Below are 27,871 nucleotides of genomic sequence, written 5' to 3' on the forward strand. Positions count from 1 at the left end.
TCTTTGTGTACTTATGATACATTTTCAGAATAGGAATCATGGAGTCCAAAGGTGTATACATTTAAAATTCTGAAACATATTCTGGGTGGTTTTCCAGGAAGGTTGTACCCAATTAGACTCACCAAGTGGGTGTGAGCTTGTTTCCTAATATACATGACATTCTTGACCAGACATTATTGTTCATTTTTAGTCTTGGCTAATTGGATTGGGAGAAACCTGTCTCTTGTTTTAATTTGCCCTTTTTATTATTATTAGTGAGGCTGAGCATCTTTTCACATGCTCAGTGTCTGGCAGAGTTCAAAGGCAGATCAGAGAGGCAGAAAGACCCATTTTGAGTCTAGTGCACCAGCCAGATTTCCTTAATCAATAATGGGTTAAATGACTTGGCTGATTGCACACAGATAGCTTGTAGAATCAATCACCTTTACAAGGTTCACCTTCACTCATATTTTGCTCATGTGTAGCTCAAGTCTCTGCCACTGGGGTCAATGTCAACTGATCTCTCCAGACACACCCCCTTGTATGTGAACGCAACCACTGAATAAATCACCTACACATGGTTTAAATATGTCAGGGGTAGAAGGACAGCCTGAATCTGAAAGCCCAGCTTCACCACTTATCAGCTGTGGACCTCTGGGGAAGTTACTTAACCTTTCTGAGCCTTGGTTCCTTTTCTGTAAAATGGTTGTGAACAGCGGTACCTGCTTCATAGACTTGTTGTGAGGATAAAATGACATTAATGCATGTGAGGGCTTAGTACAGTGCCCACCATTTAGAAATGGGACAATTTGTGTCAGATATCAGTGGTCAAAGGGCAAGTTCTTGGAGCTGACTCCAAATAGCACAGGCTTGTTTTCATGGGACAAGTACATTCGGGACTCCTGACTCCTTGGCATAGCAGAAAAATTTGCATTTGAGTCCTAAATCCTCCACTCATCATTGGGAAAGTTCCTTCATTTCTCTGGGCCTGATCCTTCATTTGTGGAATCAGTGCCATTCAGATAGTGGCTGCCGTTCACACTCACACATCCTCCTGGTTCGAAACCCGGAACGGCCACCTCAGATCCGCAGCTCAGGGGACCAGGCTGCCGCTGGGGGCTTCTGACCAGCTTTGCAGGAAAAAGTCCTTGCAAACCACTTTCCTCCAGGGCTCTCCAGCAGGAGGGGCCTCCTCAGATCCTGCTTACAAACCAGCGAAGGGCAGGTCCCTTCGGATGGAGCTTCCTATTTTCCCTCTTTTCTCACAATGAAGCAGAGGTGAAGGTGTTAATTACACCAAGCAGTTAGGCTGCCGCCCTTCACAACCCTGGGGTCCTCACCCTGCCTGCAATGTGGAGGCCGCTTCTCCACCTCCCCTCCTGTCAGGCGTCACCGACTCTTCCCAAATTGACCAGCAGATGCTCATCCAAGTGTGAGAAGGTCTTTTCTCGATACTTGCCAGTACTGAGTGTTGGCAATCTTTTCTGTGTTTGCCAATCTGATAGAGTTCATCCTTGTTTTATTTCGCATTGCCCTGATTACTTGCGAGGCTCCACATCTTTTCACATAGGGCATTTGCATTTTATCTCCTGTGACTTGTGGATTTCTATCTGCTGCCAACTTTCCCAGTAGATTTTTTGGGTATTTTTTTTCTTGTTGCTTTCCAGGAACTCTTTATATATATAGACTGAATAGTAACACTTTATCATTTGTTGCAGATATTTCCTCTCAGTTGAGGAAAAAGGTCCTATGACATTTTTTATAGTGTCTTTTGTCATACAAAAGTTTTAAGTCTTGATGTAATCAACTCAGCTTTCTTCTGTTATGGCTTCTGGATTTTAATTTGTTTGGAGAGTTGTTCTGCACTACCATTTATTTCTTACTGACTTTGTTCTCATTAAACCCTAATACAGACTTCTATCCACCCAGGGAAAACTTTGCACTTCCCAGCATAAAGACCTGCTCCCCTTCCTGGGAGATTTGCATATCTCATTTCCTCCCAGACATTCACTGACTTGTTTCTTTAAAACTGAGTTTCAACACCACCTCCTCCAGGAAGCCTCTTCTCAGCCCACTCCCCCTTTTGTTCTCTAGTTACTACTCTGTCCCCTCGGGCTGTTTGCCCCATCTTAAGAGGACTGTTGGCTGCTGGCTGCTCGTTGGTCGGAAGGCAGCCTTGTGTTTTCATGTTTTTGGAGTACTTACTATGGGCTGAATGTTTTACAGGCCTTACTTTATTTCATCCTCACTGCCTTCTGTATACTATCACACAATCACCCTGATTTTATAGGCCGCACATCAAGAGGACAGACCTAGGCCCAGACAGTGTGACTTCAGGGCCTTGGTCCTTAGCCACTATAGTGGCTAAGGTGACTTAGGGCCACAAATTTAGTGGCCCTAATTTGGGCCGTTGGGGCGGTGAAAAAGGGCCACAAATTTAGTGGCTGAAACAATACAAAGGTATTATCTTAGAGTTCTGGAGGTCAGAAGTCCAAAATGGGTCTTACTGGTCTAAAAATCAAGGTGTCGGTAGGACTGTGATCCTTTCTGGAGGCTCTCGGGGACAATCAATTTTCTAGCTTCAAGAAGCCACCTGCCTTCCTTAAGTTGCGGTCCACCTGCATCTGCAAAGGCAAGAGTGGCCGGCTGAGTCCTTCTCATGCTACCATCTCTCTGGTTTTCACTCTTCTGCCTCCCTCTTCCCCATTTAAGGACCTTAGTGGTTTCATTGGGCCCACTCAGGCAACCCAGAATAATCTCCCCAAAATCAGCTGATTAGCAACTGTAATTCCATCTGCAACCTTCATCCCACCTTTGCCATGTAACACACACATTTACAGATTCCAGGGAGTAGTGGGTAGTGGGGGGGTTATTCTGCCTACCCGCAGTCACCCTTCCATATTGCTTTTCCAAACTTCAGTCCCCTGCCTCCACCCTCAGGAGTCATCCTGCCTCCCTCCAACCTGGGGCTTAGATCAGTGCCTTGGAGTCACCTGGAAGGCTTGTGCAAACACAGATTGCTGCACCCCACCCCCAGAGTTTCTAATTCTGTAGTTCTGAGGCGAGGGCTGAAAATGTGCACTCCTAACAGGCTCCCAACTGATGCTGATACTGAAGGTCTGGGGCCCACACTTTGAGAACCACTGGGTTAAGTTTATTAATCCTTCAAATATTTATCAATATCTGCTCTGTTTTGGGAGCTGGGCTTATACAATAATAAAAAGAATGTCTCTGGTCTCAAAGAGATCCCAGACTAAAGGAGAAAACAAACAGGCAATGACCATGGAGGGCGGTAAGTGCCAGGACATCAATGAGCCCAACGCCTCTAGGAGGGCTGCAGAGAAGGCTTCCTGGAGGAGGTGATGCCTGAGCTGAGTCCCAAAGTAGGCACTGAGCAGGCCAAGGATGGGAAGGAGAAGGGTGTTCCTGGCAGTAGCTGCCAACTGGGCAAAACTCCAGGGCAAGAGGGAGCCTGGTGCCTCTGAGAGGTACACGTAGCTCACACTGGCTGGAGCAGAGAGTGGGGCAGAGGAGAGATGGGATTGCAGTTTGCTTTCAAGCCCTGAGCCCGGCTGCAACCCCAGGGCCAGGAGACCTGAAGGTAGGATGACAATCTGGCTCTTAAGCCCTTGAGTGCGTAATGGAAGAGTGAGCAATGAGGACCTCCCTGTGAAGATGTGCAGCAAAGACAGGGATAATGAGGCCATGCCTCACCCCTAGGCCAGCCTAAGAGGAGGTGTAACCATGGCAACCAGCCTGATGCTCTTCCTGCTGGTCTTTTTTGAAGGCTTTAAAGACCAGATGTTCTTAATCTGGGGCTCAAGGATGGACCTTCAAAGATCCGAGAACCACTAAAATTATTTGGTAAATGTTATGCATCTCTGTGTGTGTGTGTGGTTCTCCGGAGAGAGGATCCACAACTTACATAAGATTTTAAAAAGCTCCCCCCACTGTGCCACCCCCCTACCCCAAACCAGCTAGGAAGATGTTATAGACCAGGAGTTGTAAACTCTGGTGCCTACAAGGGTTAAGTGGGACCCTCAGGGAGTCACGTGGCAGAGTGTAACATCTCAGGGCATGGTGAGGATTGTGGAACCAAGGTGTGAATGGGAAAACCAAGCTCTGTAATATATTTTAAGGTTTATTCTGAGCCAATGTAAGAGACCCTGGCCTGGGGAACACAGTCTCAAGAGGTCTGAGAAGGTGTCTCCATGGCAGTCAGATTACAGTTTGGTTTTATGCATTTTAGGGGAGACAGGAGTTATAGGCAAAGACATAACTCAAAGCATAGAAGCTGTATAATGGTTTGGCTGGAAAAGGCGGCATATCTTGAAGCCGGGGCTTACAGATTATACGTGGATTCAGATTCTTTAATTTGCAATTGGTTAGAGGAGTGAAGCTTCGTCTAAAAATTTGGAGTCAGCAGAAAGGAATGTTTAAGAGAAGGAAGTCTGTTAACCAATATACCAGTTCAGAGTTGCTCGTAGGGGTGTGTGAGTTCACCTTTGTCTGGCACAGCCATAGGTCCTGTTTATAATTGGTTATCTTATTGTCACAAAAAGTCTGTTTTGTCAATCTTGTGATGTCTTTTCTTTTTTTTTTTCTTTTTTTTTTTTTTGACAGAGTCTTGCTCTGTCACCCAGGCTGGAGTGCAGTGGCAAAATCTCAGCTCACTGCAACCTCCACCTCCGGGGTTTAAGCGATTCTCCTGCCTCAGCCTTCCGAGTAGCTGGGATTACAGGCACCCACCACCACACCTGGATAATTTTTGTATTTTTAGTAGAGATGGGGTTTCACCATGTTGGCCAGGCTAGTCTCGAACTCCTGGTCTCAAGTGATTCACCTGCCTCAGCCTCCCAAAGTGGAGGCAAGGCGTGAGCCACCATGCCTGGCCATTGTGATGTCTATTTTAACATTAATGCTGGTCAGATGCTGTGCCTAAACTACAAAAGGGAGGAGCGTATAATGAGGTGTGTCCAACTTCCCAACCCATCATGGCTACGAATTCAGTTTTGCAGGTTTCCCTGCGATTCTCTTGGCCAAGAGAGTGGATCTGTTCAATTGGCTGGGGGGCTTAGGATTTTATTTTTGGTTTATGGAGGGCACTAAGCCTATTTAAAACTTTTTTTTTTTTTTTTTTTTTAGAAACAGGGTCTCACTCTTTTACCCAAGCTGGAGTGCAGTAACACAATCATAGCTCACTGCAACCTCAAACTCCTGGGCTCAAGCAATCCTCCTGCCCACGCCTCCTGAACGGCTGGGACTCCAGTTATGCACAACCACACTTGGCTAATTTTTTTTTTTCAGACGGAGTCTTGCTCTGTCGCCCAGGCTGGAGTGCAGTGGCACCATCTTGGCTCTCTGCAAGCTCCCGGGTTCACGCCATTCTCCTGCCTCAGCCTCCCAAGTAGCTGGGACTACAGGCGCCCGCCACCATGCCCAGCTAATTTTTTTGTGTGTTTTTAGTAGAGATAGGGTTTCACTGTGTTAGCCAGGATGATCTCGATCTCCTGACCCCGTGATCCTCCCACCTCGGCCTCCCAAAGTGCTGGGATTACAGGCACGAGCCACCGTGCCTGGCCACACCCGGCTAATTTTTGTAATTTTTTTTTTGTAGGGATAGGGTCTTGCTGTGTTGCCCAGGCTGATTTCCAACTCCTGGGCTCAGATGATCCTCCTGCCTCAGCCTCCCAAAACGCTGGGACTACAGGCATGAGCCACTGTGCCTGGTCTAAAACTTCTAATATGATCAAATTAACAACATTAATACTTAATGTTATTTTAATAAAAACAACATTTTATGTAACCCAATATGTCCAGAATATTTTCACATGTAATCAATATGAAACATTAATGAGATATTTTACATTTTCAAATATGAAGTCTTCAAAATCCAGTGTGTATTTTTCATTTCCAGCAATCTCTGATAGGATGCTAAATTTTCATCAGAAATCCTTAATATATATTTAGATTTCATAAAATATACAGCCAGAAAAGTAGATTTGTGTACCCAAGTTGTTCTAAACATATTTAGGCCTTTTCCAGTAACTGAAACAAGTATGTAGTTTTAAATTTAAATTGGTTAAAATTAAATAAAGTTGGCTGGGCACGGTGGCTCACACCTGTAATCCCAGCACTTTGGGAGGCTGAGGAGGGCAGATCACTTGAGGTTGGGAGCTTGAGACCAGCCTGGCCAACGTGGAGAAACCCTGTCTGTACTAAAAATACAAAAATTAGCTGGGCATGGTGGAAGGTGCCTGTAATTCCAGCCGGGAGGCTGAGGCAGAAGAATCGCTTAAACCCAAGAGGCAGAGGTTTCTGTGAGCTGAGATTGCACCACTGCACTCCAACCTGGGCGAAAGAGTGGGATTCTGTCTGAAAATGAAAGAAAAGAAAAGAAAAGAGATAAGAAAAGAAAAGGAAAGGAAAGAAAAGAAAAGAAAGAAGGAAGGAAGGAAGGAGTTAAAAATTCAGCTCCTCATTCATACTAAATACCATATTTCAAGGGCTCAGGTGGCTAGTGGCTACAATATTGGCCAGTACAAATCAAGATGACAATCTAAGTGACTCAGGAAGGGACACACAAATGTCTATAATCTTGTTCGAAGGAAGGATCAGGGAAAGCCTACACAACTTAAGGACTTTCGAAGCTTCTCTGGCAAGCACCACAGGGCTGCGCTGCTGGCTGGAGGCCTGTTTTAAGAGGCAGCCACCACTTGGCTTCAGCCAATTGTCACTTAGAGACACAGACCCAGGATTATCATCTCTACTGATTATTTTTTCCCAAGGGAAATTGGAAATTAGAGGACTTAAAAATGTGAGACCTCCTCATTTTCAAATGATGGCAAGCTATTTAAAAGGTGTGAAAATCCATTGTGTGTGTTGGGGACGTGGTGGGGGGATGCAGTTTGCTATCTCAGATGGAGATTGGTAGATCCTGATCTTCTGTTGGGAATATTTGTCGTCTCAGAGGTCATGGGCAGTACCTTAATCTCCCCCATCCATCTAAAAAATGCAGGCTGCCCCTCCCAGAGTGCTATGTGAGAATTCTGATGCAATCCATCAGTTCCCACCCAACTCTTGAAACCTATGCAATTCTCTGAACCCCAGCAACATAATGATACTCCTGGCTTTCCAACCCTGGTTGCACAATGGAATCAACAATAGGTGCCCAGGTCCCATTCCCAGCAGTTTGGGTGTCATTGGTCTGGCTGGGGCATTGCTTGGGCATAATGGCCTGGCAAAGCTTACTGGGAGATTCCAGCCCATGGGCAGGGTGGAGAAGCACCCTGCCCTGGAGAAGGTCTCTGGGCCAGGTCTCCACACCTAGGATGCAGCTTCTTGGGCCCAGCGTGGGTCCTCTGTTCTGATTTGTGCCCAACTTGAACAGCTAAAGGGGGCACCCATAGCTGTGCCTTCCCTGTCTCTCAGCCCAGGCTCCTGTGTGATTCAGGAAGCTAAATTATATTAATTACATTTCAGAATGTTTTATTCTTGTTGTCTATAACACAAAATAGCCATGCTTGTGACTTTCATAACCCACAGATCGGCTCTAGCAGAAATGCTGTGTGAAAGAGATATGGCGAGCATCGTTTAATAATTCAAAGAATGGTCACACTGTCCAGAATGAGCCAGTCTTCTTTGTCTTAATGGGAAAGTTGTAGCCATAGAGGGATTTTAGGAGCTCAGTTAAGATGATACTCAAAAATGTAAAGGTAAGATTTACCTTTTATAACATCTCATTCCCACCCATCCCAACCCTGTTGCCACAGGGGTTGCTTCGTAGATGTGAGTGTTGCTGTGTCCCGATGTTCAGGTTGTGCACTGCATGTGAGTGTTACACTCAGAGGGGCACCATTTACGTAGTCATCATGTACTAAGTTATGTGAGTGATATGGGTAGGCATGAAGAATCCAGACCTCCTGGCAAGTCCTGAGGCAACAGAGGAGAGACCCTCTTCATAGGCACACATGGCTATGTACACATTCATGAGTGACTGTGCACCCACGATTCCCTGGCGTACCCATACACACATGGCTGTGCCCTGAGATTGCCTTTCTTTCTTTCTTTCTTTTTTTTTGAGTTGGGTCCATTTTTATTGTGGATCGGGGCTTAGAGCATAAGCACTGGTCAGCATCATTAGCTGCACCATCTACCATCCTTCTCTGTGACCCATCTCTATAGGAGCGTCTAAATTTAGCCCAAGAAATCAGGATCAAGAAGGGGGAAAAAAAACCATTGGCCACATGGCCACTCCTGCTATATCTACACCTACCAGTCACTGAACACTTACCCAAGGTGACGGTTTCCATGCAGGAGACCCAAGCGGCTCTGCTAGGGACAATAACTTATTTGCCTAAAGCTTTTTTCTTTCTCAAAAGAGGGGGCAGAGAAGGCTGATTTCTAGAAGTAGATGTGGAATTGAAGAATGTCCCAGGGAGCTAAGTTTTAAGGACTAGCCACAAACTTGTTGCTTCTCCAACAATGTCATGAATCCATTCCTTGCACCATCGCACGTTTTTCATGCATTCAAAAGTGTCTCTAGAGCTCCAGAACCATGAGTACCTCATCACGTCCTGAGCGTCACATCCCCCAGCAAGCTGCCTGCACCAGGCCTTTCTCTAGAAGTCCTGAGACTGAGTACTCTCCGAAGGCTGGAGGTTTGTGCGAGTTTGTACGTGTGGTTGAGCGCTTGTGTGAGGAAAGTCCCGCTGGGGTTGATCTCCATCAAGGTCAAGTTATCCGGCTTGGCATGTGCCTCCTGTTGCCTCACAAAGCTGTCAGCAGACACTCGGAGTTTGGCTATACGAGTGTCCCATATATCCTTGACCAGGGTCCGGATTTCGTCTGCCTTCGGGATGTTGTCTGAAGCATGATTTAATGGGAGCTTGGTAAGTTCCATGTAGTAAAGGCTGGTGGGCATTGAGGTAAAAAAGTTTCTTCCTTTCATTCATGATCCCTCATCTTCTCCAACTTTTCTATGTTCATCCACTCCGGAGGGAGCAGTCGACATTTCTGCTTTTGTTTCAGGTTAATTGCCAGCCACGGGGGTACTTCCACTGGTAAACCAGGGTTAAAAGGCCCCAGGTACCCACCCCAATGAGGTAGCTCTTGTCCAGACTGAAGTTGGGGATAATGGTAACCAGCTCCTTCTCAGCCAGGAACTCGACCTCGGCCACGTCCATGGCGGCGCGAGTGGCCAGCTCGGGCCTCACAGTCTCCTTGGGCCCTTCAGTGTCCCGGAGGAGGTGCCGCAGCCACTGTTTTCCCCGAGATTGCCTTTCAATCTCTGCTCTAAGAGGTCCAATTTCTATCCTTTATTGATTCCTGACTCAGAACCGGATGTGTCTCTTTATCTGGGGGTTGGAGATAGGGTGGAACATGGAGCGTGCACACAGCCAGTGGCGTGTGCACCTGGCACCTGGGAATGGTGTGAGTGGCAGAGAGTGGGCTCACCGCACCTCTGGCAGAGCTGCTGGGGTTGTGCGATAGCGTGCTGTCCCTGTCAGCTATCACTGTGTGACAAATGATCCCCAAACCCAGCAGCAATCATTTCCCTAAGCGACGATTGTGTACTCCCGCTCCTGTGTCTGAAGGTGGCTGGGGATTAGTTGCTCTACCCTAGGCTCTGCTGGGCAGCTCCATTTCTAGCCATGGGTCTGGCTGAACTTACTCCTCCCTGCTTACTGGGCTGTGGTCTGTGCCATAGGTGTTCATTCTGGGACCCAGGCGGCAGCTGTCCAGGGACGGCTCTTCTCATGGTGTTGATAGCGGTGTGAGAGGGCCACCCCACCACCCAGGCACATTGCATACCTGGGCTTGCCCAGAGCCAAAGGCACATGGCATCCCACACAGCCACTCCCTGATGGTGGCTAGCTCTCTCACCCACCTCTCTCCCTCCTTTCCCTTCACCCCAAGCTTCTCACCTTCCCCCAGATTCCCTGCTCAGCAAAGTAAAGCTTGGCACTGCCCAACAGCGGCTGTTGCTCTTCCAGCCTTCCCCACTGGGGACAATCTCAATTCATTGCTCCACAACATATCATTACCCAACAACAATTATGGGACAAGAGATACGTTCAAAAGAGTCCAGGAACTCTGTGGCTCAGGTGATAGGGATAAGAGCTCAGCTGATCAGAGGCAGAGCTGGGGCTACATCTGGGCTGGTGGTATTCCCTCACCAACCACAGGCTGCATCCAGCCAGTGAAAGAAAAGAAAACATTCACAATTGAGGAAAGACCGTTGTACAAGCGGCTTATTACACAGTGGTTGAGAACATGGACTACAGAGCCAGACTTCCTGGGGCCAAATGCAGTTCTGCCATTTACTAGTCAGGTAACCTTGCAGAAGTCACTTTATCGCTGTGCCTCTGTTTGACCATCTGTGAAATGGGATGATAAGAAGTTGTGAAGAGTAAATGAATTAATCCATGCTAAGCAGTGTTTCTCAGCCAGAATGATGGTGTTCCCCAGGGAACATTTGGCAAGGTCTGGAGACCTTGTCATTGTTAAAACTGAGAGGGATGCTTTGGCGTCTAGTGGGTAGAGGGCAGGGATGCTGCTAACTTACTACAGTGCACAGGACAGCCCTCCTTCACAGCAAAGAATCATCCTCCTGACATGCTGTTAGTACTGAGCTTGAGGAACTTTATTTATTTATTTATTTATTTATTTTGAGACGGAGTCTCACGCTGTTGCCCAGGCTGGAGTGCAGTGGCACAGTCTCGGCTCACTGCAACCTCCACTTCCTAGATTCGGTGGAACTGAAGGCTGCCCCCAAAGCCCTATTCACCACTTTTGGGGGAAGCCCTTGGCTGGGTTGCTGAAGCCAGGCCACGCTCCCTGCCCCAGCAGGTCCAGGCTGAGCTGACCTGGTTTGGCTGCTGGAGAGGAGGCTCAGCCACACCTCCACCGACTCATCCCGATGGCCCGCATTCTTGCTCCCTCGGTCATGCTGGCTTTCGGCTTCCCTGAACAGGCTCTCGGCTTCGCTGAGCAGGCTCTTGCTTCTGTGGCTCTCAGCTTTACATGGGTTTCTGCAGCCCTGCCCTTGGGAAAGGCCTTTGCTCCACTGTCATATTATTCTCACTGCCTGCTATGACCTCACGGGCAAGGGTCTCGCTAAGATCACCTTGCAAAGCCCCCTTCTCTACCCCTGTCTTCCCATTTTATGGACTTGGAAGCTGAGGTCCATCGAGAAAAAGGGACGTGCCCACAGCTGCACAGAACATGAGCAGGGGAGCTTGGATGGGAGCCGAGGACTTCTAGGACCTGCCTCATCTTTCAGGCCACCTAGGGGGAAAGTTCATGTGTGTGGAGAGAAGGGCTTTGCATTCAGGAAGGCTCTAAGCCTCTGTGAGGGCTCCGGCCCTCTGACTCACTGCAGGAATATATTTCTTCATGCTCTGTGCTTGTAAGCCCCTGCCCACTCTGCAGGACAGGAACTAGAGGCCACTCACTGGCTGGGCAGTCTTGGGTGAGCCACTTGCTGTGTCTGAATCTCAGATAGGAAGAGTCCAGAAGCAACATATATTGATCAAACTAACATTGACTGAGGACTTCCTATTCTAAGCACCTTAGGTGTATTAGCTTCCTAGTAACTGGCCATAGTAAGGGCTCGATAAACATTTGCTGAATGAGTGAATTGGCTCTTACACTACACTGCCCCAGGTAGTCTCTGTTAGCTTCATATTAAAATGAGGAAGCTAAGGTCCAGCCAGGTTTGGGGACTCCCCAAGGTGACGTTGCTAATAAACAACAAATCTAGGATTCAAATTCAGACCCAGTTGACACTAGAGCCAAATTTCTTGACTTTTTTTTTTTTTTTCTGAGACGGAGTCTCACATTGTCACCTGGGCTGGAGTGCAGTGGTGCGATCTTGGTTCACTGTAATCTCTGCCTCCCAGGTTCAAGTGATTCTCCTGCCTCAGCCTCCTGAGTAGCTGGGATTCCAGGCGCCCGCCACCACGCCCATTAATTTTTTGTATTTTTTACAAAATACAAAAGAGACGGGGTTCACCATGTTGGCCAGGCTGTTCTTGAACTCCTGACCTTGTGATTCACCCACCTCAGCCTCCCAAAGTGCTGGGATTACAGGTGTGAGCCACCGCACCCAGCCCAAAGTTCTTGACTTCTAAATTTACAAATCTGTTTATCTATTGCTTAGTGGCACATAACAACCATCATTTTATTCCGCTTAGCGATTCGATGGGTAAGGAATTGGGACAGAGCGGGCAAGAATACCTGCTCTCTGCTCCATGATGTCTGGGGTATCACCTGGGAAGACTGAATGGCTGCGGGTGACTTCATGCTGGGGACTGGAGCCATCTGTCTGGAAGTTTCTCCACTCATGTGTCTGACACCTACACTCAAATGATTCAAGGGTGAGGTTCGGCTAGGGCTGTTGACTGGGGCACCTGCATGTCACCTGGCACTTGGCCTGAGCTTCTCAACATAGCAACCCCTTCCAAGGAGCAAGCAGAGAGTGAGAGAGCCAGGTGGGATCAGCTTGGTCACTATGACCAGACAGAGAAGTCTCATCGCTCGACCTCTGCTGTGTCCTCTTAGCTGAAGCTGTCACAGCCTGACAGATTCAAGGGGAGGAGACATAGGCCCCACCTCCCCATGGGAGGACTGTAAAAGAATTTTGGGACCATACGTGATATCCACCACAACTACTGTATTCTAGGCAGTGTTCTAGGCACTGGGGAGACAGCAGGGAATAGAGAAGCCAAGAAAGAAATAGTTCCAGCAGAAATGAATGTGTTATGGAGAAGCAGATGGCAGAGACGTAATCCAGGTTAGGGATGAGAAAGGTTGTATTTGAGGAAGTGACTTTAAGTCTGAGACAGGACATTCCAGGCAGAGGGAAGAAGGAGGTACGTGAGACGAGGCTAGAAGCATGGGCAGGTCAGTCCAATGCCTTCGTAAGGCATTTGGATTTTATCCTCAGGGTCCTGGGATACCATGAGGATTCCTAGATGCGGTGAAAGGCCAGTATTGTGAGCTTGGAAGATCTTTCTGAACCAGAGAAGGGTATCTAGACGAAACATGGGAAGACTGCGATGAGGCTGTGGTCCAGGCGAGAAGTGATGGTGGCTTGGACCAGAGTGGTGGTTCAGAAGTTGGTGGATAGAAATGTTGTATGAAAGGTAACATTCATTAGGGGTTCATGGGATGTGGAGACACCAAAAAGGGTGTGAGGAGTGGCTCTCAGAGTGCTTGATGGAACCATCTGATGAGACAGGGAACTCTGAGAGGGGCACAGTGTCTACAGTGGGGAAGGAAAAATGCATTCAGATTACTTCATTTACACCTGGGGCCTCCCTAAATCATCTAGTATGGCAGTTAAGTGCCCTGGTAGTGGGGCTTTCAACCTGGGTTCGTATCCGGGCTTTGTCACTTGCCAATGGGACAAGTCTTGGTGGGTCCCCCAATCCCGTTGGGTCTGTTTCCTTGTCTGTAAGTTGGAAACAATAGCACCCCTACATGGCACTGATGTATTAAACTGAGGTTTGGCCAGGCTTGATGGCTTACATGTGGAATCTCAGCACTTTGGGAGGATCACTGGAGTCAAGGCATTTAAGGGCAGCCTGAGCAGCATAGCAAGACCTCGTCTCTACTGAAATGAAAAATTAACTGGGCATGGTGGCATGTGCCTATAATTCTAGCTACTTGGGGGGCTGAGGTGGGAGCATCGCTTGAGCCCAAGACTTCGAGGCAGCAGTGAGCTATGATCGCGCCATTGCCTTCGAGACAGAGCAAGACCCTTTCCAAATAAAAAGAAATAAACTGATGCTTGAACATGTTTGCCCCTGGGCATGTAGTAGGTATTCAGTAAAGGTTTGAAAACCAAATTACAACTGGAGGCCACGCTGTATACTTAGCACCTGAGTACTTTTCTGCATGCGCTATACCTCAACAAAGCGCTGGAAACAAAACAAACAAAACATCAGCTATATTTGTGAGGTTCTGAACACCTTTTGTGGATGCGTTCTCTTCCTATCGTTCTCTTCCTAGAAGGGGGTACTCACCGCCATGCTGCAAAATGTGATGTTGGAACAATGACACCTTTAGCACTGCGGGTGTTTCATTTTGTTTCTGTTCTTTCCCCTCTCTGACCTCCTCAGAATGTTCTTCCAAAGAAATAATTGCTGCCCCCTCACTGCTTAGCTATCAAATGGTGATAGTGTTGACAATTTTGCTTGGGTTTAGTCGCTGCAGTTTTCAAATTGTCACGAAAACACACAGATGCTGGTAATTTCAAAGCGAATCGCAAAGCAACCAAAGAAACGGAGCTGTGCCCCCAGCATGGGGTGCCAAACAGATTCGCAGGAGGCACTGACTGGCAGTTTTCTTGAAAAGCATAAATAGAGCAGAACAGCCAATTTTATAATTAACTGGGACTTGGTCTCCAGTGAAGCTTCTGCTCTGTGCAAATGCCGGAGCCGTTGCCAGGAGGTTGTGCCCTGTCCCTTCCTTCAGGCTCTGGCCGACTGGAGGTTTCTTTGCTTTACCACATTTTGAGTCTGTTTCAGGATGGAATTGTTTAGGACTCGGAGTTGAGCTCTGTGTGGGCAGGACGCTTGAGAGGAAGCCACAAGCCAGGGTCTACGGTAAAATCCTGGCAGGAAAGGCCATGTGCAGAAAGAACATGGGTCCCTCATTCAAACATTGTTAAGAATTTTGAGATGGTGACAGCAGTTCTCTGAACGAAGTGTGGGCTGCTTCCAAACCTGGGCCCTGTGTGACTGCACAGGTCGCACATCCATGGAGCCGGCCCTAGGTCCTGGATTACACCTCCAGAAACTGGGGGGACAACAGTGAGTGAGGTCATAGGCTGAGGGCAAAATACAACTTCAGGGACTCCAGGGGATGGGATCCCACAAGATGGGGGCTAAGCAGGCAGCAGGGGTAAAATCAGAACAAACAAACATCCAATAAAATAGTCCTTTTTTAGAGGCAATGTGATAAGAGTTCACAAACCCTTTGATTCAGCAATTCTACTTCTAGGATTCTCTTCTACTGTACAAAGGAACAAAGGTAACAGATGGTATTATTTGTGATATTGATGAATAGAAACAACCCAAATCTCCATCAAAAGGAAATGGGGATATTTCAAATAAATGCGCTGTGTGGGGGACCTTCCTGTGAGCATCCAGCTCCTCAGCAAAGAGCTATCAAATGCTTAGCATGCATGGGACTCTTGTGGGGCTGGTGGAGGACTTGAGTTCTGTGTCTTGGCTGACATGAGCCCAAAACAATGTCCCCTGAGTGAAGAAGAGAGTGCCTGCCTTTAGGTTAAATATGCCTGGGGAGAAACATGAGATGTCTGCACACCAAAGTGTTAGCATGGAAAACGTGGTCGTAGCCACAGGAGAATGATTGATATTCTACTTTGCTCACTTCTGCATTGCTGGGAATTTTTACAATAACTGCATATTGATTTTATAAGGGAAAATATAGCTAACAAAAATGTTTTAAGGCCGGGCTCAATGGCTCATTCCTGTAATCCCAGTACTTTAGGAGGCCAAGGCAGGCGGATTGCTTGAGCCCAGGAGTTCGAGAACAGCCTGGGTAACATGGCAAAAACCCTGTCTCTACAAAAAATGCAAAAATTAGCCAGGCATGGTCATGTGTGCCTGTAGTCCCAGCTACTCAGGAGTCTGAGGTGGGAGGATGGCTTGAGCCTGGGAGGCGGAGGTTGCCGTGAGTCATATCGCACCACTGCACTCCAGCCTGGGCCATAGAACCAGACCTTGCCTCAAAAAACAAAAACAAACAAACAAACAAACAAAAACAGAAAAGCACATATATATATATTTTTTTTTTAAAAAGGCAGCATGTGGATGACTTTTCCTTTTTAATCCAAATGAGTCTTGTTTTTTAATAGGGCAGTTCAAACCACCTATGTTTATTGGTTTTCTTTGCCTTTTGTTGGTTTCCACATGGGAGCTTAAATATCTATAGAACTTGCAGAATATACATTTTTCCCACTTGAGGAAACTGGGGAAATGGATTTCTTCCCTCTCTTCTGGCAGGGGTAGTTTATGGTCTATTTGCTGGCATGTGTCAGGGTCTAGGTGATTCCAGTCTAGTATTTTTGCCATTATGACCAACCCTACCATTTCTCAAGGATTTGGGCCAGCAACAGGGACATTTTGTCCCTAAGCTCATCTGAAGTCCTGGACTTCATTTATATGGACCAGGAGACTTGCACTGTCTTACCCTGAGATTCTTTGATTGCATGAAGCAGAAATTCATTGAGTGTAGCTTGGGAAGAAGAGGGGGATTAAAGGGAAGGATGTGGGAGTCAGGGCTCTAGGGGTAAACCACATAGCCTGGATCATGAAAGGCTGCAACTGGGACCTGGAAAATCAAGCTTAGGTTACCCCACATCCCTCCATGCCTGCAGAGGGTCTCCTCTCTGCTTCTTTTGGAAGACTGGCCACTCCAGCCCCACACAGCTTCCAGTTCACGTGCCTGATACTGACCCCTCTGCCCTTGGTTCAACACCTTGAGAGAATGAGATTGGCTCAGTGATGTATAGCACCTCTGTGATCAGGTACCTGCTCTGTTCAAAGCTGGCTGGGAGAGGGGAGGAGATGAGGTGCTCCTGTGATACAAACAGGAGACCCAGGGCTTGGCAGCCAGACTCACAAAGGAGGAAGTGTGAGGGAAGGAGACAGGAGACTTTCTGGGTAAAAATTCAGTGAGATCCACGAGACACTGCCCTGTCATTTCCTCGCCTGTCCTGGTGTTTAATCCCCTCTTGGGAATGCTGCCTTTACCGTAGGTATGTCCAAGACTGTTAGCCTTGACCAAGAAGGTGGAAGCAAGCAGAGCAGTCTGGCCCTGCTCTGTCCCCTGCAGCATTGCTGGTTTCCAAGGATCCCGCAGGGGTGATGGGTCACCAGTCAATTTGCTGAGATCACCCTGAGAAACATGCCTAGGAAGCTTGCTTAGCCCCCAGGGGCCCAGGCTGATTTCTGGAGAGCCACAAGCCTCAGCACAACCCCCATCATAAGCAGAGACTTGCTGACCTCCCTGCACCTTCCCCACTTGCTACAGCTCTGGCCCCTCCTCAGGCCGAATGGATCAGCTTCCCCAGAAGAATCTCCTGCGACTACACCCTGCTGGCTCTGCTGGCTGTTCCACTGGAGTGGAGAGCTCCAGCATGGATGGCTTTTGGATGGAGGTGGAACAGATCCAACAGAGAGATGAGCTGAGGGAAGAGGACAGTGGCGGGAATGAAGGCCAGCTTCCAGAGGGTGAGAGACCCTGGCGGGGGCCTATAGGGGTGGTGGGAGGGCTTGATTCCAGGCAGAGAAATGTCAGAGGATCCAGATATGAACCAGAACATGACAGCATTTTCTCTGTTGCCTGGACTGGTGCAGTATCCTCTTCACTGCTCTCCCTGCTTCACCCGTGATCCTTACTGTCTGTTCTCCATGCCATAGTCAAGACGATCTTTTAGTAATGTAAATTAGATTATGTCCCTCCTTAGAGTAAGTCCTTCAGGAAATATTTTTTGAGTGCCTATTATGTGCCAGGCACTGTTTAGGCACTGGGGATACAACAGTGAACACAAAACAGTCTCCTATATACAGACCTAATGTTCTAGGGAAATTCTAAGCCCTCTGCTCTAAATCCTCAAATATCTCTCCATCTATCTCAGAGTAATAGACAATTATGTGTCCCTATTATCTACTACTATGTAACAAACCACCTCAAGCTTAGAAGCATAATGCAGCAATAATCAATTATTATGACTATTACTATACCTCACTGTTGGAGGGGTTGAGTGGGCTCAGCTAGGTGGTTCTTGCTCAGGGCCTCTCATGCAGTTACAATCAAATGGTAGCTGGGGCTGGACTCATCTCAAAAGATTTCTCATCTATGTGCCTGGTGGTGGATGTGACCATCAGGGGGCCTCATCTGGGATTATCATCTGGAATACCTGCATGAGGCCTCCACATGTGGCCTGGGCTTCCTCACAGCATGGCGGCTGGGTTCCAAGCACAAGACCAAGAGAGAGAGCTGGGTAGAAGCTGTCTTGCTGCTTATGACCCAGCTTTAGAAGAAAGACAACATTGCTTCTGCTGCATTCTGTTACCCTGCATGCAGCTATGTTCAAGGGGAGGGGAATTAGACTCCACCCCTTGATGGGGTGAGAGTCAAAGAATTTGGGGACGTGTAATAAAGCCACCAGATCATAACTTACCAGGCTTTACATAATTGGCTTCGTGCCTCCTCTCTGCCTCTTCTCCTCCCACCCTGACTGGCTGTCACTCTACTTCTGTCCTCGGGCCTCCTTGCTGGTCCTTGACCCTAAAAGCACTTTCCTGCCTCAAGTCCTTTGGTTCTCTCTGCTCCCTTGGCCTCAAATGCTCTTGCCCCAGGCATCTGCATGGCTTGTTCTCTCCAGTCAGGACTGGGCTCAAATGTTACCTCCTCAGAGAGGTCTTCACCAGCTTCCCTACACAAAATAGCACCCCTGCCCCATCACTCTCTAGCCCCTGCCCTACTCTGTTCGTTGCTGCAGCAATGATCACTGCCTGACTTTACCTAGTGCACTTCACTGTGCATGTGTCTGTGACCCCCACTAGAATGTAACTTCCATGAGGCCAGGGACATCATCGGCCCTTTTCACTGCTGTGTCCACAGTGCCTAGAACAGAGCCAAGCACATTCCCCTCCTCCATCCTTACTTGTTCAGCAGATGAGGGAATGAAAGGGCTCCACATGGAACCCTTCCTGGTTTGGCATGTAATTCAGCTGGGCTTGCCCCTGGTTGGCAAAACAGACCACGTGGTGATGCAGACCTCCTAAGGGCCTAATAGTCTCATGCAGTGCCTCCAAGTGTAAATGTAAAAACATCCCTGGTTACACTAGAAGTGGTTTCAGGAGATGCCCTGCATAGGAGGTCCTCCATGTGGCCTCTCTGGAATCATGATGTGGCCAGCAATCTAATTTCCCACAATACACAGGGAGTGGAGTCAGAGTGGGTCAGAGAGAAGCCACTTTGAGCAACCAAATAAACACAGGAGCTTTTTTAGACTCACAGGGCTGAGGGATCCTGAGTGGCATGGAGCCAAGACTGGTTTTTTTTTTTCCTTTCTTTTCTTTTTATTTATTTATTTAATTTTTGAAACGGAGTTTCACTCTGTCACCCAGACTGGGGTGCAGTGGCACAATCTCAGCCCACTGCAACCTCCATCTCCTGGGTTCAAGCGATTCTCCTGCCTCAGCCTCCCAAGTAGTTGGGACTACTGGCATTCACCACCACACCCGTCTAATTTTCGTATTTTTAGTAGAGATGGGGTTTCGCCATGTTGGCCGGGCTGGTCTTGAAATCCTGATCTCAGGTGATCTGCCCACCTTGGCCTCCCAAAGTGCTGGGATTACAGGCATGAGCCACCATGCCTGGTCATCTTTTCTTTTTATTCGGACACCAACTTGAACCAGAGGGATTGTTAATAATTTATTTTTCCCATCAATGTCTACTCATGGCAGGTGATGTTGGATGCTCCATTTATGGTGGGGATCTTGTTTCCTTTTAAAATAGATGTGTTTTAGTAAAAAATGTAGCCCATGATTAAGGGGATATATTTGGTAAGGAATTTTACAGGGACAATTAGATACAGATAAAAATTATAAAGGTGGTTGGTGAATGCCTACATTTCAAGAAACAGTGGCTCATTGAAAGGATCCTGTACAAACAAAAAAATGTCTGGCATCATGATAGAATCAGTACCTCCACCAGCCAGCACAAGTCAGGAATGGACCCACAACATTGCAACTGCCCTGGAGGCATCTGTTCTGGTTCCCAAGTGCAGGGAAAGTGTTGGGGGAAGACTTGGATTATTTGCAAAACCCAGGCTGCCATAAAAGCAGTTTTGTTTGAGTTTTTAAAACACTTATTACCTTGTTGACTAACTGGGTCAACACTGGGTACAACTGTACACCCCACCAATCCTCTCACACATGTGTTCAATTTCCAGTAAGAGCTCTTGTCCATTTCCCCCATGATAAGGCCAGTGTTTCTCAAGTGTGGTCTGAAGACCCTATTGCATTAGAATAATCTGAGGAAGACATTCGAAGTGCAGATTCTCAGGCCCGAGGCCTGAACTCCTGGAACAGAATCCCTGGAGGTAAGACCCGAGATCCTGAAATCTCAACACACCCTCCCATTCCAGTTAATGGTTTTGCTATGGGACTATGAGAGTTTCCTTAGGAAGCACAGTAGAGGGGACAATTCCAACACAAATAAGGTCTTGAATATGGAGGACTTCCCAAAGGGACATCAACACCCAGCACCAACTTCCCAAGGGGACACCATGTGACCCTGTAGTGGTCTCTGCCAGATTTTGGATAAGTGGGTTCATTACTTTGGAGAGAAGTGGGTCCAAAATCTGAACATGCAGGGCCCTTCACCCACCTCTGTTTTCCAGGGATTGCTATGTTATGGGTTGACATCCATACACTGGCTAATGCTATCAGTACCCCCCACCCCGCCCCCAGTTCTCAGAAGGCTCATTAGATCTTCTCCCCCGGAGAGTCTGGTTGGTGTTAATAGGTCTCACGATCAGATATGCAGAAACTCCTGTGTCCAGGTGAGTGTGTGCTTCTATGCAGAACTTTGGTTAGCACGAGTGGCTGAGTGCAGAGCTGTGTGTGTTCATCTGGGTTCTACTTCTGTTGGCAGAAGGGGAAGCTGAATCCCAGTGGCTGCAGGACACAGGCCTGTCGGGCCTCCTTGGTGGCCTGGGCTTGGATGGTGATCACCAGGAGCTCCTGTCCACCCTGACACAGACCCAGGTGGCCGCTGTGTGCCGCCGGCTGGACATCTATGCTCGCTCAGTGCGAAGACAACACAAGACACCTGTCAGAGATGTCAGGGATGTCTTTGGGGTCTTCAATTCAGGGGTAAGTGGCATATGGGTCATTGCAGGCCCCGTCTGACTGGGATCTCTGTGCTGCCGCCACAGCCTGAGAGATGCAGTGATCCTGCTGAAGGGCTGTGTTGGTGTGTGTATGTGTGTGTTGGTGTGTGGGTGTTGGTATGTGTGTTGGTGTCTGTGTGTTGGTGTGTGTGTTGGGGTGTGTGTGTGTTGGGGTATGTGTGTTGGGGGTGTGTGTGTTGTCTGTGTTGGGGGTGTGTGTGTTGGTGTGTGTGTTTTGGGGTGTGTGTATGTTGGTGTGTGCATGTTGGTGTCTGTGTGTTGGTATGTGTGTTGGGGTATGTGTGTGTGTGTTGGTGTGTGTTGGGGTATGTGTGTTGAGTGTGTGTGTTGTGTGTGTTGGGGTGTGCGTTGGTGTGTGTGTGTTGGTGTGTGTGTGTTGGGGTGTGTGTGGGGTGTGTTGGTGTGTGTGGGGGTGTGTTGGTGTGTGTGTTGTGTGTGTGTTGGTGTGTGTGTATTCAGAGTGCAGTGGCTTGCACACGTATGTCTCCCTGCCTTCCACTATGTCCCTATGTTGCATGTAGGTCTTCATCTCCCATGCATGCCACTGCATATATGCCTGTTGCCACTGTGTGTCCTTGGGTGAGCCTGAAAGCCTAGGTTCTTTCTATATAATTGTTATTGATGCAGGGCAGGCAAGCCCCTAAATTGGGGATTAGCTCTGGAAGCTTTTGGTTTCACTCAGGAAAGAATTCAAGAGTGAGCTGGTGGTAGAAGAAAACAACACTATGGAGGCAGCAGTAATACAGTGGCGTGACTGCTGCTGCAGAGCGGGGCCACCCGATAGGCCGTGTCCAGGACAGCAGCCCAGGGGCAGGACCACCCTATAGGCTGTGTGTCCAGAGCAACAGCTCAGGAGCAGTTCTGCCTTTTAATTACATGCAAATTAAGGGGTGAGTTATTCAGAAATGTCTAGAAAAGGGGCAGTAATTTCCAGGTGTTGCCATGGCAATGGTAAACTGTCATGGCACTGTGGGCATGTCTTATGGAGAGGTGTTTTTGCCTCTTCCTTGTTTCAGCCAAAGTCCCACCTCCTACCTCATTATCAGTACAAAATCCTTTTTTTTTTTTTGAGACTGAGCCTCGCTCTGTCGCCCAGGCTAGAGTGCAGTGGCGACATCTCGACTCACTGCAAGCTCCGCCTCCCGGGTTCACGCCGTTCTCCTGCCTCAGCCTGCCGAGTAGCTGGGACTACAGGCGCCCGCCACCATGCCCGGCTAATTTTTTGTATTTTTAGTAGAGACGGGGTTTCACTGTGTTAGCCAGGATGGTCTCTATCTCCTGACCTGGTGATCCACCAGCCTCGGCCTCCCAAAGTGCTGGGATTACAGGCGTGAGCCACCACGCCCGGCTGGCACAAAATACTTTTTTATTGTCACTGTGTATCCTGCTGACACTTGAAGCCTGATAGGTTGTGGGCATCATCTTTCTTGGAGCACCTCTGAAGTGGCATAGCAGTGATTAAAACCACAGGCTTTGGAGCCAGCCAGACTTGGGCCCCAGTGCCCATTCCCCGACTTAGCAGCTGTGGGACTTTGGGCAAGTAACTCAGCCTCTCTGGGCTTCAGTGGCTCCATCTGTGAAAAGGGGTTGTGGGTGGCTTCTGTCTCCCAGGGTTGTGTGAGCATTGTCAGCTTCCCACATGAGTAATTGGGCACTGTCTGTAATTTGCATAGAAAATGTCGTCAGAGAATGGCGACTCCGGTATGAAGGGGGCCCAGCTCAGTTCCGGGGCCTCTAAGTTTCCTCCAGGTAAGTGGTCTTCATTCTCCAGGGCCCTGAGAATCCTCCAGGCTGCATAAAGGGCTGCTCTGTGAAGTAAGAGAATGTGCACACCTCCCAGCATTTCCTGCTTCCTGCTGACTCCCTGCCTTCCCTGCTCAAGGGCAGTAGGGAGGAGCCCTGAGGGGACAGGTTGGGCCCTTAAGTGAGCTGTTGCCATCAGGCCCATGGGGCTCAAGATGGGAAAATTCTCTTCCTGGGCAATTGGCCTTAGCTGGGAAATCACTTCCTGGGGCAGTGAGGGTCTTAGCTAGGAAATCATTTCCTGGGGGCAATGGGCCATAGCTAGGAAATCACTTCCTGGGCAATGAGCCTGAGCCCTAAACCTAATGATTTGATCCTGGGGCTTTGAACTTGAGCTTGGGAGCTCACTTCTTAGGACTAAGGGCCTAAGTCCCGAACCCAAGCACTTGCTTCCTGGCAGCCAGTTCTCACTGCCTTTCTCTGCTTTGTTTCCCCCGCCCCGCAGCAGCAGAGCCTGGGGGGCTGCAGGAGCAGGCTGGGAGGGAAGAAGCCTTCAACATGGACTCTGCCTACTCAGAACAAGCTGCGGTGCTCCTGCAGAGGAGCAGGCCATCCCGGGGAGGCACCTCTGCCTGGGGCAAGTGTTCCCTGCCGGTGAGGATGCTGTCCACAGGGCTGGTTGGCTAGGTCCCCCTGTGCTCAGGCACCAGCACCCATCTCTTCACACCTTCCACACTGACAGGCATCCAGCACAAAAGTTGTTAATTCATTCATTCATTTAATTCGTACCACAAATATTTACTGAGTGACCGCTGGGTATCAAGACTGGGGAGCAGGATGCTTACAGTCTAACAGTCCTGTCAGTATTGTCTCCATGCTCTTTGTTTTTATCCTTAGAAAGCCCTCCCTCCTCCAGCAAGCTCATAACTGTCCATCAACATGTTTTTCTAGTTACTTTTAAAATTAATTTTAGTGCCTGGAGTGACAGAGAGAGACCCAATATTTTAGTTCTGTTCTTTCCTCCCTCTCTCCCTCCCTCCCTTCCCTCCTCCTCCTCCTTCTTTTTTCTTTCTTTCTTTCTTTCTTTTTCTTTCTTTCTTTCTTTGTTTTTCTTTTCTTTCTCTTTCTTTCCTTTCTTTCTCCTCCCTCCTTCCCTCCCTCCCTCCCTTCCTTCCTTCCTTCTTTCCTTCCTTCCTTTTCTTCTTCCTTTCTTTCCTTCTTTCCTTCTTTTTTTTTTCTTTGAGACAAGGTCTCACTCTGTCACCCAGGCGGGAGTGCAGTGGTACCATCCCAGCTCACTGCAGCCTCAACCTCCCAGGCTCAAGCTATCCTTACACCTCAGTCTCTCAAGTAGCTAGGACTACAGTTGCATGCCACCATGCCCAGCTAATTTTTAAAATTTTTTTTAGAGTTAGGTTCTTCCTACATTGCCCAGGCTGGTCTCAAACTCCTGGGCTCAAGCAATCCTCCAGCCTCAGCCTCCCAAAGTGCTGGGATTACAGGTGTGAGCCACTGCACCTGGCCGTTCTTTTTTCCCAAAATATTCAGTTATCCCAGCATAGTTCCTTCCAAATAGGATGTAATCATTGATAGTTAGGTTTTTAAAGATTGAACTATAACTCGCTGTTAAGTGCACAGATATTTACCAGGTACAGCTTGGTGTGTATGCCCGTGTAAATACCAACAAATGAGTACAGAAACTTCCTCCCTTGCTTGATGGCTTGTAATATGGAAAAAGAAAGAAAGAAAGAAACTTCCTACCCCACCACCCCCTCAGTGCCCGCATGCCCTTCCCAGGTAATTCCTTTCCCTGCAGAATAACCACTATTCTGACTTCTCTCATGGAGTAAATATAGTCTTTCACAGTCCCTCTATTACTAAAGGAAGTGTTTCTTCTTTGACCACGTGATGATGCAGTCGATGCAATCTTAGGTAACATTTTACTGAGGGCTGCCCTGGCCCAGGGCATTGTTCCCAAGGCTTCCAGTGCCCTCATTGCTCCCTGACTATATGATAGAAAGAAAGAGAAGTAGGATCGGGCACAGTGGCTCACGCCTGTAATCCCAGCAATTTGGGAGGCCAAGGCGAGAGGATTGCTTGAGTCTAGGAGTTTGAAACCAGCCTGGGCAACATAACAATACCCCATCTCTACAAAAAATTTTTGAAATAGCCAGGTGTGATGGTGCAGGCCTGTAGTCTTAGCCACTTGGGAGGCTGAGGCAGGAGGATCACTTGTACCTGGAGGTTGAAGCTGCAGTGAGCTATGATTGCACCACTGCTCTCCAGCCTGGGCCACAGAGCAAGACCTAAAAAAAAAAAAAAAAAAAAAGAGAAGTGGCATATGTTAGTCTGTTTTTACACTGCTGATAAAGGCATGAAAGAGGTTTAATGGACTTACAGTTCCACATGGCTGGGGAGGCCTCACAATCATGGTGGAAGGTGAAAGGCACGTCTCATGTGGCAGCAGACAAGAGAAGAGAGCTTGTGCAGGGAATCTCCCCTTTTTAAAACCATCAGATCTCGTGAGACTTATTCACTATCACAAGAACAGCCTGGGAAAGACCTGCCCCCGTGATTCAATTACCTCCCACAGGGCCCCTCCCACAACACATGGAAATTCAAGATGAGATTTGGCGGGGGACATAGCCAAACCATATCATGGTGCTCAGAGAGGAGAAGTGACAGAATTGGCTCCCACAAAGGCCAGGACAGGAACACCTGGCAGCCTGACCCTGGAGCCTTCCCAACTGACCACCACTCTCTACTGCTTAGGAAACCAACCCCACCCCCTGCAGTAGCCTCTATTCCAATGTGAGAGTACTTTCACTCATTCAAATGGAATTTTCTTAGGTCCACAGCAAGTTGCAAAAACAGAACTCCCACGTACTCTGCACCTAGTTTCTCTTAGTGATAATATTTTCCATTAATCATAGTACATCAAATAACATTTATATTTATTTATTTATTTATTTAATTTTTTCTTTTTTGAAACAGTCTCACTCTGTTGCCCAGGCTGGAGTGCAGTGGCAAAACCTCGGCTCACTACAACCTCCACCCCCGACGTTCAAGTGATTGTTGTGCCTCTGCCTCCCAAGTAGCTGGGACTACAGGCATGTGCTACCACACCCAGCTAATTTTTGTATTTTTAGTAGAGACAGGGTTTCTCCATGTTGGCCAGGCTGGTCTCGAACTCCTGACCTCAGGTGATCTGCCCGCCTCAGCCTCCCAAAGTGTTAGGATTACAGGTATGAGCCACTGCACCCGGCCTAAATTTTTTTTTTTTTGAGACGGAGTCTCGCTCTATTGCCCAGGCTGGAGTGCAGTGGTGCAATCTTGGTTCACTGCAAGCTCCGCCCCCTGGGTTCATGCCATTCTCCTGCCTCAGCCCCCGAGTAGCTGGGACTACAGGCGCCCGCCACCATGCCTGGCTAATTTTTTGTATATTTAGTAGAGATGGGGTTTCACCGTGTTAGCCAGGATGGTCTCAATCTCCTGACTTCGTGATCCGCCAGCCTCGGCCTCCCAAAGTGCTGGGATTACAGGCGTGAGCCACCGCGCCTGGCCTAAAATTTTTTAATAATGAGTTTCTATTTCTAAAACATCAGAGATAATTAATATTCAACATTATCTTGTCTTTTTCTTTGACAGTGTTTCTCCATTAAATTATGAATGATGATAATAATTAATCACGCTAAAGGGCCAGGCATGGTGGCGCACACCTGTAATGCCAGCACTTTGGAAGGCCAAGGTGGGAGGATCACTTGAGGCCAGAAATTCGAGACCAGCCTGGGCAACATAGCAAGACCCCATCTCTACAAAAATTTTTTTTAAATAATTGGGTGTGGGCCAGGCATGGTGGCTCATGCCTGTAATCCCAGCACTTTGGGAGGCCGAGGCAGGCAGATCACTTGAGGTCAGGAGTTTGCGACCAGCTGGGCCAACATGGTGAAACCCCATCCCTACTAAAAATACAAAAGTTAGCTGGGTGTGGTGGTACACAACTATAATCCCAGCTACTTGGGAGGCTGAGGCAGGAGAATTGCTTGAACCTGGGAGACAGAGATTGTAGTGAGCAGAGATCACGCCACTGCACTCCAGCCTGTGTGGCAGAGTGAGACTCCGTCTCAAAAAAAAAAAAAATAGTTGGATGTGGTGGTGTGTGCCCGTAATCTTAGCTACTCAGGAGGCTGGGGCAGGAGGATCACTTGAGCCGAGTTCAAGGTTACAGTGAGCTGTGATTGTGCCCCTGCACTGCAACCTGGGTGACAGAGCAAGACTCTCCTCTGAATAATAATAATAATGCTAAAGACATCACATATTGATCTTTTACCACACACTAAGCATTATGCCAAGTACTTCACATATTTGATTTAATTTCATTCTATTAAGTTAGTGATAACTGTGTTAATAAACTAAAAAGTAGTAGTAAGTATTGAGTACTCACTATGTGTCGGGCACCATGTTTCATACACTTTATTGAATTTAATCCCACCAACAGTCTTGTGAAGTAGATACTGTTATCACTTCCACTTTGCAGATGAACACACAGGTAAAATTATTTGCGTGCACTCACAGGTAAAGTCAGGATTTGAACCCCGGGGGATGTGACTCCATAGCCCATGCCGCAAGCACTAGGCTGTATTATAAGCATCAATTACTATTTCTTTCCCTTTGAGCACTCGAAAGGGGCACTGGGAAGTGGTCCAGCCACGCCCTCCAGGCAGTGCTGAGCAAGCCTGGCCCTCCCGCTTGCCTTCTCTGACCTTGGGCGGCAGGAAAGCCTGGAGCTGCCTGCAGATTCCCAAGGTGGCCTCTAGATGGCACGGTTGAGCATTCTTTATTTCTGCCGGTGGCATGGCCAAGGCTGGGGACAGAGCCGGTGAGGCAGAGGAACAAAGGACCAGAGTAGAAGCAATAATAAGAAGCCCATGGGGTGATCCCTCTTCTCCAGGTCCTCTTGTGGAAGGGCAGGCAGTGAAAACAGTTTCTGTTTCTTGGGGCTTCGCTATGTGCTTGGGACTGTACCAAGCACTCTATATCCATTAGGTCATTTGCTCCCGCTAAAATTTTATGAGGTCGTTGCCGTGGCTCATGCTTGTAATTCCAGCACTTTGGGAGGCTGAGGTGGGAGAATTGCTTGAGCCCAGGTGTCTGAGACCAGCCTGGGCAACATAGAGAAACCCTGTC

At 48.2% G+C, this 27,871-nt stretch overlaps 1 protein-coding gene and 1 pseudogene across 1 annotated transcript in view, besides 1 other annotated feature; one reads left to right on the plus strand and one right to left on the minus strand.

Moving 5' to 3' along the window:
• Nucleotides 1-27,871, plus strand: part of ARHGAP40 (Rho GTPase activating protein 40) — a 48,845-nt gene that overhangs the window by 4,504 nt on the left and 16,470 nt on the right. Inside the window, exons 2-5 of the mRNA NM_001164431.3 lie at nt 17,047-17,246; nt 20,683-20,903; nt 22,615-22,690; nt 23,190-23,338. Of these exons, the coding sequence (NP_001157903.2) occupies nt 17,047-17,246; nt 20,683-20,903; nt 22,615-22,690; nt 23,190-23,338 (646 nt within the window). The remainder of the gene's footprint in view (nt 1-17,046; nt 17,247-20,682; nt 20,904-22,614; nt 22,691-23,189; nt 23,339-27,871) is intronic.
• Nucleotides 1,971-2,471: an enhancer, noted in NCBI's record as "H3K27ac hESC enhancer chr20:37236926-37237426 (GRCh37/hg19 assembly coordinates)". NCBI's record gives its function as "activates a minimal SCP1, AML or CMV promoter by ChIP-STARR-seq in naive H9 embryonic stem cells {active_cell/tissue: H9 hESC(naive)}" and the evidence as "EXISTENCE:reporter gene assay evidence [ECO:0000049][PMID:30033119]".
• LOC391247 (GINS complex subunit 2 (Psf2 homolog) pseudogene) lies at nt 8,059-9,220 on the minus strand (annotated as a pseudogene).

The sequence above is a fragment of the Homo sapiens genome, chromosome 20, assembly GCF_000001405.40.
Source record: "Homo sapiens chromosome 20, GRCh38.p14 Primary Assembly".
Classification (NCBI taxonomy): Eukaryota; Metazoa; Chordata; class Mammalia; order Primates; family Hominidae; genus Homo; species Homo sapiens.